Source organism: Homo sapiens, chromosome 2 (genome assembly GCF_000001405.40).
Source record: "Homo sapiens chromosome 2, GRCh38.p14 Primary Assembly".
Classification (NCBI taxonomy): domain Eukaryota; kingdom Metazoa; phylum Chordata; class Mammalia; order Primates; family Hominidae; genus Homo; species Homo sapiens.
In genome coordinates, this window is record NC_000002.12 from 166,388,916 (window position 1) to 166,406,868 (window position 17,953).

A 17,953-nucleotide genomic window follows, 5' to 3' on the forward strand; every position below is an offset into this window, starting at 1 on the left:
AGGAAAATAAAGTCAGTTGCTACATGTAATATCATTCCAGAAAAACTACAGGAGTTTTGAGGAAAATAGTCTCATCTTCCAGCATCTGGCACTATTTATGACTTTTTCTCATTCTATGAAAGAATTAGAATGAAAGGGTTGGAGGCCAGGGCATGAATTGGCTAATGGTTAGAACTGTAAGAGCTGTGGGAAAGAAACTGGAAGTCCCCCATCCCCGGAACTATGGCTCTTTATAATTATATTGTAGACTGAAGGTACTAATCTCCACCATGGAAAAGTCAGAAGTTGAGGAGAGGTAAAAACTCCTCAATGACTGGTACCAGTCATGAGCTAGTATTGACAACCTCTTGTCTGGAGATCCTATTATTATAGTATTTTTTATCACAGATTTTGTAGTGTGATTAAACCATGGAGAGTACCCCAACTTAAACAATGCACAAAAATTCTGGACTTAATAAACACAGATAACTTGCACTCCCTATTCTTTTCAGAGTATTCATCATCATATTCTGTATTAGTCCATTTTCATCCTGCTGATAAAGACATAACCGAAACTGGGTATTTATAAAGAAAAAGAGGTTTAATAGACACACAGTTCCACGTGGCTGGGGAGGCCTCACAATCATGGCAGAAGGCACTTCTTACGTGGTGACGACAAGAGAGAATTTGTGAAGGGAAACTCCCCCTTATAAAACCATCAGATCTCGTGAGACTCACTACCAGGAGAACAGCATGGAAAAGACCCACCCCCATGATTCAATTACCTCGCACTAGTTCCTTCCCAAGACATGTGGGAACTGTGGGAGCTACATTCAAGATGAGATTTGGGTGAGGACACAGCCAAATCATATCAAATTCCATGCTTCAACAATGTTGTTGGAACAAAAGGGATTTGTCTGAAGGTTCAGCCATCCATATATTCTTGTAACTTTTGGACACCCTCAAAAATATATATCTGAACCAGATCTCCAGAGATGTGCAAACTGAGACCCAATTGACACATTTACCTTTGCTAAATTTCTAGGCCATTGGCATTAAGGGATGTCATCACAAGCATCAGCCTCATGGGATCTGGAGAAGGAAGAGGAGGGCGATAGCCGAAATGATGGCCACTGGCTCATTGTAGCTTTAAATGATCTACTCTACAGGTTTTTGGAAGTCACCTTTATCATATATATTTGGAAAATCATCTGTGTCATCAGGTTGGGTTGGCAAGAACATTGGAGTTCTCAGGAATTGAAAACATAATGACTCCCTTTGACTAATTTATTTTCTTTAACATTATTCCCGCAATCACTTGACTTTCTATCCTATTTTTCAGTGATTTTACTTTGAAATATGACGGGTAATGAGCTGTAAAATAATGAGATATCATCTTCTCTGTCCTACATTTAAATTTGGAATTTCTATATCTGAACAAGTATGTTTAGAGTCAGTATTAAAGAACATCCATTTTTAGAAAGAATTTGAAACAACTCTATGAAGGGATAAAACATACTATTGTGTCTTAAAAGGCTAGGCTTCAGAGACAGGTGAAGTTTGTTAATTGTGTTATCCTGAGAGTTATTTGAACACTCTGGGCCCTAGCTCTCTCATCATAGGAATAATAACACCTGCCTTGTATGAGTCTGTGAGGATTAAATAAAACTGTATTTATATAAAGACCTTAACACTGAGCTTGGCACATAATTCTTACCCTCATACTACACTACCCTGATTATTGCAGCTTTCTGGTTGTTTTTCAAACCAGGTAATAAAAGTTCTCCAAGTTTGTTACTCTTATTCAAATTTATCTAGGCTATTCTAGGATCTTTGCATTTCCATATAAATTTTATAATTGGTTTGATGATATCTACTGTGATATTTATTGGGATCATGTTGAACCTGCAGATTAATTTGGAAAAAAATTTATATCCTAGCAATATTGGATTTTCCAATCCATGAGCAACGTATTTTTTTCCATTTATTTAGGTCTTGTTTAAGTCTTCTAAAAAATGTTTTATAGTCTTTACAGTATAGGTCTTACACACAGTTTGTCAAATTTATCTCTAAGTACTTCATTTAAAAAATGTTCTTGTACATTGAATTTGACATTTTAATTAAGTTAATTTTTCAGTAATTAAATCATATTATAGGGAAACACTCTATGTTTATTGACCTTGTACCAGCTAAACTCTATTAGGTGGAATAGTTTTTTCCTTCTAAAAACTTAGTAAGATTTTAGGTGTAGGTAATGTATTTGTCTGCAAATAAAGACAGATTTACTACATCTTTGATCTATGGATCATTTAGAAATGACTTTTCCTTTTTTTTTTTAAATAGGGGATTTTACATATAGCTCTTATTTGTTGCTTTATAGTTTAATTTTGATGGAGTCAGAGAACATATTTGAATAATTTCAGTGCTTTCAAATTTGTTCACACTTGTTTTATGTTCTAGCTTATTATGTATCAGTTAATACTTTGCTTGTGCTTGAAAAGAATGTGTCTTCTGCTTATGTTAGGAGAGTGTTGTAAATGTCAATGAAGTCAAGTTGGTTGTTCACATCTACATTCTTTCTGACTACCTGTGTACTTGTTCTACTAATTACTGAAAGAGGAGTGTTGAAAACTCTGATTATATTTAGGAACTGGTTATTTTTCCTTTTATCTCCATCAGTTTTGCTTTATGTATTTTGAAGCTATGCTATTATATTCATACACACTTAAGATTGCTATTTATTCTTGTTAATTTGCCTCCTTTATTACTATAAAATATACATCTTTATCTCTGATAATATCACTTTCTTGTAAATCTACTTATTTTCAATTTTAATACGGTCAGTCCAAATTTCTTTGAATTGTTTGCATGTATATTTTATCACAATTTTGTGTTGTTAATCTGTTTGTATCTTCATATGTAATGTGGGTTTTGTAATTTAAAATTTCTATTTGACATCATTGTTAATTTTAAGTTATGTTTAGAAGTATTTTAATGATGTAACTATTAACATTTTTATCAATATATAATGTCATTTAAATCAATCATCTTGCAATTTGTTTTCTATTCTTCCAATCTGTTCCTTTTTGTTTTACAAATTTTTAAAAATAATTTGCTATTTTTAGGATTTTAATATATTCCCTCTATTGGCTTATTAGCCTTTCTTTTTGTTTTATATTTTTAATTATTATTCTGCAATTTACAATATATTGTTTCAACTTATCACAGCCTAACTTGAAATACTATTATTATACTACCTCATGTGTAGTATACAAATCTTAATTCAGTATAAATCTATTTCATCAGTCTTGTCCTTTGTACTATTGTTAAACATTTTTCTTATATATATGTAATATGTATTACAAATACATCATCAACAACAGACGTTGTTATCTTTGCATTACACAATCTTTTAAAATATATTCAAAATGATAAAATGTTTTTTACATTAATCCACATGTTTATGTTTCTAGTGTTCTTCATTCTATTGTTTACATCCACATTTCAATCTGATATCATTTGCTTTCTGCCTGAAGAAATTCCTTTGGCCTTTCCTGTAGTATAGCACTACTGGTGGTCAATTCAATTATTTTGTGTTTGTCTTAAAAAGCATCTATTTATCTTCATTTTGGAAATATTACCCATATTTTAAATTGCTACGTATTGGCTCATGGGTCATAGAAGCACTTTGTTTTTTCCTCTCCTTGTTAAATTTAGATAGTTTTTATTCCTACAGCTTCAAGTTCATTGATCTCTTCTGCAGTGTCTAATCTGCATTTAAACCCATTCAGTTTATTTTTCATTTTGGATGATTTTTTAAAAATCCCTAATACTTCCATTTGGGTATTTAAAAAACATTTCCAATTTCTCTTCTTATTACATTTATGTGTTCCTTTATGCTTTTGTTCACAGTTATACTATATATAATAGCTAGTTTAATATTCTAGTCTGCTGATTTCATAGTTTATATGGTAACCGATTTTTGTTTCTTTTTCCTTCTAGTTAAAAGTCATATTATCTGCTTCTTCCCTACCCTAAATATTTTCACTGGACACTGGACAGTGTGAATTTTATAATGTGCTATATTTTATTATATTTCTAAAATATACCAGGCACTTAAACTATGTTCAGAGTAGTTTAACCTTTTTGAGGCTTAAAGTATATTTAAGTCAGGTCCAGAGTAGCATTTCATACAGGACAGGGATCCTCACATTTTTGTTGTCTCAGGATCCCTTCTGTCATGTTTCACAGTCCTGTGTTACCTATTTTTCAATGTCTAAAGACATTCGTTTCATATCTTTATCTCGTTTTCTAGTTTTACAATGACACAGCAGTTTCCACAACAGTTAATCCATCCTAAATGGAAACAGAAGACCCTAACTTTACTTTTAAATAACCTTAAATAAATCTAATTTTCTCAGTGATTGTACCCCCACAATAACGACAGCTTGAAATTTCATTTTTTCTCTTCAGCATTAGAATATTTAATTTTTATGCATTAAACCAATGAAGATGAGCAGGGATAACTAAGACATGGAGAGCATAATGACAGAGTAATGATTAAATAAAACTTTCTATAATCAACAACATAGAATCTCCAGAGCACTGACGTGAATGACTCTATCTTATAATCTCAGAAAGAAAAATATCCCATACAATTAATATTATACAAGATTTATTAATAACAATATTCACCAAGGGAAAACAATCAATATAAAACATACAGAGAACATTATAATGTCTTAGGCATGCCTGTGTTTACTACATAATAATTCATGGTATAGTTATAATAGTACACCACATTTCCATTTGCTTGTTGATTTGTGTAAAAAGTCAAGAGGCTGATATCTGTAGTATATGATGAGACCATGGGGGTCATCCACTCTCCCCCCATCAATAGCAGCAATTACACTTAGGCAATTGTGTTAATAATTTTGGCTAATTAAAGTAAATGCACAAAGGCTGTTATATTGTACGTTTAATGCATAGTCTGTTATTGAGGGAAAAATATCCTCTATATTTTTATCTAAAATAATCAAAAGGTAATGTGATTATACTGGGGAATAATGATAGCTATTCCAGGAAGGTGCCTGGCATCTCCTGACACTTCTCATCATCGGTGTTAAGAAAATAGAACAGAGTGGATTCATATCCTACAAGCTAGTCCATCAGTGGCACATCAGCACTGAATAGTACATCACAAGCACTTGTCCAATTATAAGATGGCCTCATGATAGCTGCTTTTGCTTCTTAAATAATCTATAGTGAAAGAATTTCTCTGGATTTTCATACTTGAGGCTTCTATATATTTTATATTTCTGTTTAGTGATAGAATTCTGGTTATTGTTTTAATTTATGTGAGTTTTCTGTAAAAGTACTGCAGATCAGTGTAAGCTAATGCACATGCAATCAATGCCTTGCAAGGCTTTTCATCACACTTTCTTCCTCTATAGATCAATTGCTAATAAAGGTATCCAATTACTTCCCTCAGAGTGTACTTGGGAATAGCATTAAGTGAAGGAAGCTTGATTTGGTCACCTGCTTATAACTGTACATTATTCACAATACCTTTCCTGTGTGCATAAAATGCTGCAGCAGCAGAGATCCCCAGCAGACCTTGGCTGGTTGTGCTTGGGTTGCACTGCAGCAGAATCTTTGCGTACACTGGAAGGATCCAGTGTTGTTGTTGTATTTCTGCAGAAAGCAATGTGAGGACACAGCAATATATTTAGTAATTTAAAGGTCAAGAGAAAAGTAGACATCTTAGAGATGAATATTCGTCACTTCTGTGATGTTAAAAAAAATAAAAACCACTCGTCTCCCTTAATCAAACTGATGTTACTATCATGGAATCTTGCTTGTCCTAAATATGTCAGTGCTCCAACTTGGTCTAAAGAAGGTTCACTCAGTTGAGAAAACAAATCGTTTTCTTGACCAGAACTATCAAGCATGATTGTTAGAACAATTAAAAAGAAATATTTATTCAGCAAACCAAGGGGGCTCTTTCACATATGAAACAAGATGAAATACTCAAAGATCAAAAAGGCATCCCTGCTTTACATTGCACTGTTTCATGGGTTCACGATAAATTCCTTCCTGTTAGTTTTTGTTTAGGAATCTTGGAGAGATTTCTACTAAGCAAAAAAGTAAAAGTCAATGTAGGATTAGCAACTACTGCTTATAATACCTATACAGTTAATTAAGAGTCAATTATCATGGGATGTTATGTTAGACAGCTATGCTACCTGTTAACACTGTGCAATTATATTCAGGTTAGGTTTCAGATAATGTAATCATCTTAATGATGATACCTAGTTAGAAAATAAAGTTTTATTCCATCTAAAGCTCCTATTTATTTATTTTTTATTTTATTTCTTTGAGATGGAGTCTCGCTCTGTCACCCAGGCTAGAGCTCAGTAGCATGATCTCTGCTCACTGCAACCTCCGCCTCCCAGATTCAAGCAATTCTCTTGCCTCAGCCTCCTGAGTAGCTGGGATTACAGGCGCCCGCCACCACACCCAGCTAATTTTTGTATTTTTAGTAGAGACAGGGTTTCACCATGTTGGTTAGTCTGGTCTCGAACTCCTGACCTCGTGATCCACTCACTTCGGCCTCCCAAAGTTCTGAGATTACAGGCATGAGCCACCGCGCCCGGCTAAAGCTCCTATTTATTAAGAAAAATATTGAAGAGTTTTAATCACTGTGCGTGTCCTGAATTGTTTGCAGTTTTGCTCCTCAGAATGACAGAGCATGGCACTCATTTTTATGAGCAGTTCTACTGTGGTTCCAAGCTTGTGCAACATACTCAACAAAATACAAGAATCATAGTATGCACCCTATAATAGATAATTTCCTTCTTTCTTTCCCTTCCTTCCTTCTTTCCTTCCTTCCTTCCTTCATTCTTTCCTTCCTCTTTCCTTCATTTTTCTTTTTTTCTCTCTTTATCTTGATTTTAATGGAGAGAAATAAGATTTAAGCTTACTCTGGGGAACACTAATATAGGAGATAAAATTTGAGTTATTTCAGTTTCTAAACCTACTAAAGGCCAAAAGTTCAGCTGATGCATGAACCAGGGATATGCAATTATTGTAGAAAGAAGAAGTCACACTCCAAGGAGACCATCTGAAGAAAAGTAAGCAAAGGGGCCTGTAAATACTGTAGGCAAGGTTTAAGGAGAAACCAAGGGATTCTGCTTCTAAGACTGAAGGGACAAGAAAGGAATAGTTACCAAAAATTGCCCTAGAGATTAGATGTAGATATAAGAAACATTTACAGAAATTGTGGCCATAGGTAAAGAACGGAAACTATACCCAGTGACTGGGGAGGGAGCAAACACTTGGTCCGGGGCTTCCCATTGGTCAAACCCAACCGGAAGCCGGAGGTCAAGAGAACCCATTGAAACAGCTCTTGTGAGTGAGTCTCTAAGAGCTGAGCACAAGGAGAAGAAGGGTAAAGAGTAGTTCTGGCAGGGTAAAAGGAAGATATCCAGTACAGCTGATAAACTGTTACAAATATACTACTCTGACAAATTTCATTTATTCTTCAATCAATGTTGTTTAGCAGTGCTTTCTAAGATGATGAAAATGGAATAAATATGTGCTATCAAATACGGTGGCCTCTAGATACAGGCTTTTATTGAATACTTGAAATGTGGCTAGTGGGATTTAGAAACTAAAGTTTTGATTTTATTTGCTAATTATTTTAAATTTGAATAGTCACATATGACTAGTAGCTACTGGTACAGATCTCGGTAACTGTTTCTTAAACTTTACTGTGCATTAGAATCAGTTGAAGGGCTTGCTAACACAAGCCCCACTACCATAATTTCTGATTCTGTGGTAGGGCCACTGAATATGCATTTCTGAAAAGTTTCCAGACACATCATATTAAAATGTTGAATATTAAAGGCAGAAAAATCTGGAATGCAGCCAGAGACAGATGATGCAGCCAGAGAGAGATGATGGTGATAGAAATCACTGACTTATATTTTCATTAAACCCCGTATTGACTTAAAGTGTACACACAGAGTTGCAAATTGACATTGAAATTCAATCATAACACATAGGTAAAACTGAACCACAATACACTGTTGTCAAGAAATGGTTCTAAATAAGAAACACAGTAATATGAAATTGTAAAGCAAGAATGAGAAACATTAGGCCCCCAAATCCTGTATACAACATAGATGTACTATTTAAAAAGAATCCTCTTAGATAACTACAATTTTCAACTGTGAATGTGCACCCACGGAGAGTATTTTTTTTTGAAGATCCAAGATGTACATGTGCTTCTTTGTTACATGGGTATTACATGAGTAGTGGTGAGGTTTAGGCTTCTAGTGTACCCACCACCTCACCCAAATATTGAACATTGTACCCAACAGGTAATTTGTCAACCCTTAGCTCCCTCCCACCTTCCTCACTTTGGAGTCCCTAGAGTCCATTATCCCACTTATAAGTGAGAACATAAGATATTTTACATTCTGTAGCAGACATAATTCTTAAAGATTGGCTGAATAGAATTCTTCTAACAGAAAAGATGAATAAAAGAAGAGATCATGGAGCATCAGGAAGGAAGAAATAATACTACAAAAAGCAGAAATATAGGTGCATACAATGTGCTTTCTAAGTGATGTTTGATGATTGGAACAAAATTATAGCATAGTCTCATTCTCATGATGATATTATAAAAATGGAGAAGAAAATGGGAGGTTAAAATAGTGATACCAGTAGACTTATAAAGAGATAGATAGATAGAGAGATAAATAAATACAGGAATACTCAGAACAACCACTACCAAAAATGATACACTCAAAATCACTATAATTAAACCAGATGAAATCCTAAAATATGTTCCAGGAACATGCAGGAAGAAGAGAAAAGAGAAACAGAGATCTGAGTCCAGAGAAAACAGACAGAAAATAACTAATAAATGGTAATCTTAAGTACTGGTATATCAATAATTGCCTCAAGTGTAAGAGGTCTGAATACATCAACAAAAAAATGGATAAAAAGTATACCTCAGCTAAATGCTGCTTACAAGAAACTCCCTTCACATTCAATGACATACATAGGTTGAAAGTAAAATGATGAAAAAAATTGCCATGCAAACCTTAATTAAAAAAAAAATAGAATGGGCTATATTGTTATCTGATAAAGTTGACCTCAGAGGAAAGAAAATTATTAAATACAAAAAGGGACATTACATAATGACAAAAAAGCAAGCTATTAGGAAGAAATACCAGTCATATATATGCATCAAAAAACAGAGTTTCAAAATACATGTAAGCATATTCTCACTCATAGGTGGGAATTGAACAATGAGAACACGTGGACACAGGAAGGGGAACATCACACTCTGGGGACTGTTGTGGGGTGGGGGGAGGGGGGAGGGATAGCACTGGGAGATATACCTAATGCTAGATGACGAGTTAGTGGGTGCAGCACACCAGCATGGCACATGTATACATATGCAACTAACCTGCACATTGTGCACATGTACCCTAAAACTTAAAGTATAATAATAATAAATAAATAAATAAAAAAGAAAAAAAGAAAATCTGAGAGTGCTGAAAGGAGAAACAGAAAAATTCATAATTGTAGTTGGGGATTTCAACAGCTCTTTCTCAGGAGCTGATAAAAACACCAGACAGAAAATCAGCAAAGATTCTATATCCTGATTATCTGAACAACACAATCAGTGAACAGGGTCTAACAAACATATATGCAACACTTCATCCAACAATTGCAGAATACACATTTTCTTCAAGTGTCCATGAAGCAATTACTAAGATACACCATATCCAGGGTCGTAAAACAAACCTCAATAAATTTAAAAGAATTAAAGTCATATATAGTGTATTCTTTGACCACAAAGGGATAAAATTATAAATTAATAACATAAAACAGAAGGAATATCTCCAAATCTGTAGAAATTAAACAGCACACTTCTAAATCCATGGTCCTAAGAGAAAGCCTTAAAGGAAATTAAAAAATACGTAGGGCCTAAGATGAAGCCTTAAAGGAAATTTTTAAAATACACAGAACTGAATGAAAAAAAATTATAACATATCAAAATATGTAAAATGCCACTAAATAATGTCGAGGTGAAAACTTTTTATCTTAAAGGGTATATTGGCTATGAATAAATGTCTCAAAAAAACCCTAATTCCCTAACTCAAGGAATTATAAAGAGCAAAATAAATATAAAGCAAGCAGAAAGAATGAAATAACAAAGATAATAGGAGAATCCTATAAAATAGAAAAATGGAAAACAACAGGAAAAATCAATGAAACAAAAGGCTGTCTTTAAAAAAGTCAATAAAATTGATAAACCTGTAAATAAAAGTAAAATACATACCATATTAATGAATAAGGAAAAATAAGGCAAAAATACCCAAACGATTCTCAAAACAATTTGGTAGGGTTTTGATGGCAACCCTATCAAAATCCCAACTTGGCTTTTTGTAGAAGTTAACAAGCTTATCATAAAATTTATGTAGGAACAGGACAGGGCCCTAGAATAACCTAACTATCTTGAAAAAAATTTAGAACAAAGTTGAAGGAGTCGTATCTTCTTATTTCCAAGCTTACTACACAGCTACTGCAATCAAAACAGTCTGGTGATGGAAAAAGAATAGATATATAGGTCAAAGGAATAGAGAATCCAGAAATAAATGTTACATTTATGGTCAATTGATTTCAACAAGAGTGTCAAGACAATTGAATGGGGAAAGAACAATACTCAATAAATGGGACGGCTGGATAGCAATATGCAAAAGCATGATCTTAGACCCCTTTCTTAAACCATAGACACACAAAAATTAACTCAGAAGCATAAACTTAAATATGAGAGCTAAAAGCACAAAACTCTTAGAAGAAAACATGGGAGTAAATCATCGTAAGCTTGGATTAGGCAATAGTTTCTCAAATATCCTAAAAGTACAAGCAAAAGTTTGATAAATTAGACTTCAACAAAATTAAAGCTTTTGTGTATCAAAGGACACAATCAAGAAAGTAAAAAGACAACTCACATAACATGATAAAAATATTTGCAAATCATATATCTAATAAAGAACTGCTATCTAAAATATAGGAAGAACAGCAATAAAAGATAAATAACCCAATTAAAAATGGGCAATGGATTTGAATAGGCATCCCTCCAAAGAAGACATACAGATATCCAGTAAACTCACGAAAACGTTCTCAACATAATTAGCCATTAGCAGAGTGCAAATCAAGACTACAGTGAGAATCTACTTCATACTCAGGATTGCTATAAACAAAAATACAGATAACAGATGTTAGCAAGGATGTGAAAAATTGGCACCACATGCATTGTTGGTGGGAATATAAAATGATGCAACAATTTTGAAAACCAGTAGAGCAGTTTATCAATAAATTAAACATAGTGGTACAAATTTCACCTCTAAGTATATAGTGAAGAGAATTGAAATAATGGATCTACCCAAAAATTGTACGCTAATGTTCACAGCAGCATTATTCATAATACTCAAAATGTGGAAACAATCCAAATGATGAATGGATAAATAAAATATAATACATCCACATAGTTAAATATTATTCAGCAATAAAGAGGAATGAAATAATGATACCTGCTACAACATTTGAAATATTGTGCTAAATGAAAGAAGCCAATCACAAAAAAAAAATCACATATTTACACTCCCACCAACAGTGTATAAGAAGAAAATGTGTTACATACTGACCATGTAATACTATGCAGCCATAAAAAAGAATGAGATCATGTCCTTTGCTGAGACATGGATGGAGCTGGAGGACATTATCCTTAGCAAACTAACACCGAAGTAGAAAACCAAATACTGTGTGTTCTCACTTATAAGCAGGAGCTAAATGATGAGAACACATGAACATATAGAGGAGAACAACACACCCTGGGGTCTTTTGGAGGGTGGAAGGTGGTAGGAGGGAGAGAATCAGGAAAAATAACTAATGGGTACTAGGCTTAAGACCTGGGTGATGAAATAATCTGCACAACAAATCCCCATGACACAAGTTTACCTATGTAACAAACCTGCAATTGTACCCCTGAACTTAAAATAAAAGTTAAACAAAAAAGAAAAAGAATAACATATTATATTATTCCATTAATATTAACTGTCTAGAACAGATAAATCTATAGAGACAGAAAGTAAATTCATGGTTTTCTAGGGTTAGGTGATGGTGGAATATGGAGTGACTCTCAACAGAGATAAAACTGTTATAAACTTGAATTGCTGTGATGCTTGTACAGCTCTGTTAATATACTAAAACCATCTAATTATATACTGTACAAGGAGAATTTCATATGTTAATCATGTCTCAATAAATATATTTTAAAAAGAATGATAGACAATACGAGCAATTTCATGTATAAGATAGGTTTTGCTTGGTAATTGAGAAAACCCACTTTAAGTGTTCTCCTTTTTTAAAATTTTAGAGACAGGGTCTCACTATGTTGCCCAGGCTGGTCTTGAACTACTGGGCTCAAGCAATCCTCCCACCTTGGCCACCCAAAGTGCTGAGATTTCAGAAATGAGCTACTGCACCCAGTCTAAGTGTTCCTTTGAGGTCACCTCAACCTTAACACTCTTGAGTTGTCATTTTTCTTTCCCTCATATGAACACATTCTAGAATCCAACTCTACCATCTCATGCCATTTTTTGAATGCTTTTTGCATAAACATACAAGTAGAGAGACTTGGGGTTTATGGACTCTATTTTTCACACTTCTATATTTGCTGTCACTTCAGCTTAGGATGTCATTCCTCATATTCATCATGACCTCCAACAAAATCCCATTTACTTGAACACTTAGCTTAAGATCCAGCTTTTCTGCTAAGTTCAGTAAGATTTTCCACTAGCCCTTGTTGAGGATCTCCATTATTGGAAGGGAGTTAACAAATAGTTCCAACATGGTGTTTTACTTGTCACACTAAGAAATGACTTTTTAAAGATAAGAGCAACCCTATTTATCTCTAAATTGTTGTGCCTAATACCTAGGAGGTGCTCAACAGATTTTTATTACAGGACAACATGGAGGGAGAAAATAAGGAAAAATGGTGATAAAATTGTGTATAAATGTGGACTGAGAACTTATGGATCATTTGAAGGTGTAGGCTTTCAAAAAGCCTAGACCAGAATCAAGGAGTATAGGGTTACGCCACCTGGATAGAGAGTAGAACCTAGGGCTGGAGTTGAGATAGAATTATTTGAGTCAGTGTGTGATTATAAGTAGTTGAAGACAGAGGTTTCCATACAGATGAGGAGATGATTAAGTGTCTAAGCCTGAAAGTTTTAGTTTACCGAACATAAAGATGAAAATTTCCACTTGTGAAGACTCAAATCATTCATTGGAGTTCTTTATTAACCATCATAGCTAAGAATGCAGACCCAGAATTTATGGAAAGGAACAGACAACAGAAGAGAAAGTTCAAAAACCAAAGGGAAAAATAAAACATGTCTGAGAAGGGATTTGAGGTGTCCAGAGTAATTCTGCTCAGATTTTCTAGCTAATCTCTGCAATAGGGATTGCATCGTCTCCTTGGTTCATATCTCTTTATCCTCCAGGCTGAAGAACTATAAGCTGGATGCCTAGGTCTCATATCTGTGGTGGACTCTTCTCCTTAAAAGTGCCTCTGTGTTTAATAAAATTGCCTTCTTTAATTGACAAAGTCCTCCTTTCTCTGCAGGAGCCCACTTTACTCACTTCACCTCTGATATCCAACACAGAACCCATCATTCCTGCCTATATGTGTATTACAATGTACACTCACAGTATAAAAATTATCACATATTATAACCAGCTGCATATTACGTTTCCCCCCAGTAGTCAGTAAGCCCTTCAGTCTCAGATATATCTTTATCTGAATAGGATCTGAGTTTACCTTTAGTATTCAGCATTCACAAAACGTTGAATTTTTCAACTTCTATAATTTTATCCCTTATGACTTCCCTTTTTCCAGGGAATGTCTCTACTTTTAAAATTTACTGCACCAAATGGGGAAAGTGGGACAGCGGGAGATGGAGAGCGAGCGAGCGAGAGAGCGAGTGTGAGAGAAAACACATTAAGGCTCTGTAACTGGACCTGGTTTAGAGTCCTGGCCTTTTTACTTATAGGGTCTCTGCCATATAAAAACTTCATAACCTTTCTAAACCTAACTTTTTTCACTCATGAACTGAGAGTGATCACTTCTTCATGCACGATAAATACATACGATAAGGCTGGGCATAGAAGTGTGCTCAATAAATGGTAGCTGTTACCATTATCTTTAAAACAATTTCAAGTGTATTATATTTACTAATGAAGCACAATAAAATTTTTGAAGATGCAGAAATTGATAAATAGTAGTGTACCAATAAATTTAATTTCAGTATTATCTTCCAGAAAGCAAATTCTAATAATACGAAAATATATCTAGTAAAATTATCATTATAATTTTGATAAGAAGAGTGATCATTTTACATCTTGTTAATGTGTAGGGGCCACTGGTAAGCTTACTAAAATGTATTTTACAAAATTATGTGATCTAAAGAAAGCACAACTGTTTCCAGTTTTAAGCCTGAATTAACAAACTTTAATGTAAAGCTTATTTTTAAAAAGTATACTACACAAAGTTGCCAATGTGATTTATCAAATTAAAAACAAACATAGCTTAATGTGGTTTACAGGTTATATTTATTATTTTCTATAGTATCTAAAAAGTAACATATATTGTTAAGACTTTGTTAAAAATAACTCTTTACACAGCTTTCGGAAGGTAACTGGCAAACAAGGTTTACAAGTAAAAGATAAACTTTTCAAACTAAAATCAGTTTGTTGTCTTTACGCAATTTACAGAAGCAAGTTATGATTCAATTTAAGTATCTGAAGCAGTTTCCACAATAAAGCATTCCCAAGAAATAGAAAACGGAGCTTAGATAAAGCACCAGCTGTCACATTGTCACCAAGTTAACACTGGTTCCTCACTGGTCTCCATAACATGATGGAGAGCAGGAGAAGAAAGGGAAGGAACACTTAGAGAGGAAAAAAAAAAAACCCTGAAATCTGAAATTACATTTACTTAGGGCATCCCCTAAAGGCATCTTGGTTAGGTTATTCAATTTCTGAGGGGCAGAAAAAGATTATAGTAGTTAAGGCTTGAGATCATGCATTCAGAATAAAATACAATCACTGATACATAAACTATATTGAATGTTATACAACATATTTAAAGGATGATATTTAAATCAATAATATATAAATTTTCTTTCTGAATCTTTTAGGACTTAGCAGGCACATTGAAATCAATCTTCATAAAGTTGGAATAACTCTCAGAATCTCAAACTACATAGAAGTAAATGACTATATTTGTATGAATAAGTCTAAGGACAACTATTTATGCCTATCTTTAAAAAACAATTTCAATAGTGAAAACTAATGTTTAGGATTTTACAGTTCTTTGAATATAAAACATTTTATAGAGTATGGATGTATATGATGAGATTAAAAAACTTGAAAACGTAAATATATAAGGGAAAACTAACTTGTACATACTGTTATAAAACAACAACAAATTTAAACTTTTATCTCCTAATTCATAGTTCTCATAGTTTGAGTGACCATTGTCTCTCTCTAAGTTATAAAGAATTATAACATACAGTAAAAAGTACTTTAAAGTTGCCACAACTTTCCAATTAAGGGCCAAGACACTATGAGAATCCCTATACATAATGGTAGTTCTCAACTCTTCTAATTCATGTTTAAACATACATTTGTCAGATCTTATATATTCAATGTTACATTAGAAATAACTGGTAAAAATACATCAATTTCATAAGGTAAAGCTTGAGTCTATTAACATGTTATTTATTACATCATTTTAGTAAATGTATACTTTTTAAAAAAATAGGTGTAAATGAGAAGAAAATGAAAAAAAAAAAAAAAAAAAAGGCTATACCTCTCCTTTATGCTTCTTGTTTTACGAATCTGTCCTGCTTAAGAGCCAGAGCTTAGGTGAAACTATCCAGAGATGAGAAACCAGGAGCTTGAGCACAATGAAATCCTATTCATTCCCAGTTCCAAATGAAAACAAGAACATACAAAAATAAACACAGAGCTTCAACCAATCTTTTTCAAATGCAGTTTTAATCAGCCCAAGAATCTCTGAGGTTGATCTCAAAGGCACTTTCTAAAGAACTGCTCTCTCCCTTCTTCCAATTGGCTTTTGTCTAGGCAAGTTTATGATTTAATGGCCATTAGCATTTCACCATCCCACATCAGGAAAGTATTTGCTTATTTGTAAGTCTTAATAGTGGTGACTTAAAGCCCATTAAATTATACATAAAATATAAAAGAAAGCCCCTGCTGCTGCTGATCTCTATCACCACTTCCCTTCATTCCCTAGAAGGCACACATCATATAAGCCATGTAGAGAAAACAAATATGAGATTGTCAAATGGCCACTTTAACCCACTTTAAACTCACTGCAGCAATATTAAGGATTCTCTTGATTTGTTAGATATAATGCTAAAAAGTGAATTTGGCATGAAGTCTTGTGAATACAAGCTTAATTACCATCGGTTGTAAAGAACTGATTATTATCTCTACTTTTCTTTTATTCCTGGCTTAGGCTTTCAACATTTTTCAGATATGTGAAGAAATATGAAAAGAGGTGGTAAGTGGTATTAGATCTGGCTTTGAATAGGTGACTTTTCCTTAGCTTTGTCAAAATAGGCACCTTCTTTAGTAGCATGAACATCTCTGTCACCATCTATCATATGAATATCTGATGTATTTTTGTCATTTCGCCTCAAGCGGTAATTTTTATAAGCACGTTGAATGATGGTTGCTGAAACTGCCTCTTGTTTTCGTTTCAAAGTAGTCGTAATTGGCTCACATGTGATCTTAAAAGGGTTGGCTAACAAAAACCCTGATTCTATTTCTGAAACAACTTTCTCCATCCTCACATCTTGACCCATAACTCTCTTTGTAAAAGCAAGTAAGATATCGAGGCAATGAATTCTGTCCCCAACAGCCATGGGGAGGTCCAAAGCAATGAGCTGGCCCTTGTTTGGTTTTGCCATGAAAAGAGGAGGATCAAGAGCAGCTGCAAAATCTGAAAGCTTGCTAGAGTCTATGTACTGGGTCCTATCAGGATCAAACCTTTTCCATACCTGAAAGAATTTCCTAAAATCATCTTCACTCAAGGTCTTGTTTTTCTTCTTAGAAGCAATATTTAAAAACTCCATGACAACAACAATGTACATATTTACAATGATCAGCCATGATATGAGGATATAACTGACAAAATAAAAAATCCCAACAGAGGGGTTCCCACAATCTCCTCTAACTTGAGTCCCAGGGTTAATTTTATCAGGATCACAGTCAGACCATTTACTGTTGAAAATTGCATCAAGCATCCCATCCCAACCAGCAAATATTGCAACTTGAAAAAGACAGAGCATACTGTTGCCAAAGGTTTCAAAATTAGACACATCATTAATTCCAGCTTCTTTTTTAACATAGGCAAAATTATACATTCCAAATACGGCATAGATGAACATGACCAGGAAGATGAGAAGAATGATGTTCAATAATGCTGGGAGGGACAGCATCAAAGGAAGCATCAGATTATGAAACACCTTTGGTCCTTTTCCAAGACGCAGCATGTGAATGATCCGTGAGAGAAGTATCAGTTGCACAAGTGAAGGAGGCACAAGGTAGGATCCTACTGTCATAGGCAGACATAGTCCTGGGGGTGGGAAAGATAAAGCAGGCTATACATTATTCAAACACAATAGTATTTTGAGGACTATAAATTATTTTACACTTAATTGTTTTTCCCTGTTTTATTAATCCTTTATTGATCCCTTCCATTTTACTAATCATTCTCATTTAACAGTTAGCATGTTGAAAGTTTGGGTCAGCCAAACACCTATTGTATCAATGCTCAGGGTATCTAGCTAAATTTGGA

General features: G+C 34.0%; 1 protein-coding gene across 9 annotated transcripts in view; it reads right to left on the reverse strand.

Annotated features, from left to right (window-relative positions):
• Positions 14,658-17,953, reverse strand: part of SCN7A (sodium voltage-gated channel alpha subunit 7) — a 90,677-nt gene continuing 87,381 nt past the window's right edge. For all 9 annotated transcript variants that reach the window (NR_045628.1, XM_006712680.3, NM_002976.4 and 6 more), the window contains one exon: positions 14,658-17,731. Coding sequence is in view for 8 of the 9 variants with exons in the window: in XM_006712680.3 (XP_006712743.1) it covers positions 16,665-17,731 (1,067 nt within the window). In the remaining variant the exon portion in view is untranslated. The remainder of the gene's footprint in view (positions 17,732-17,953) is intronic.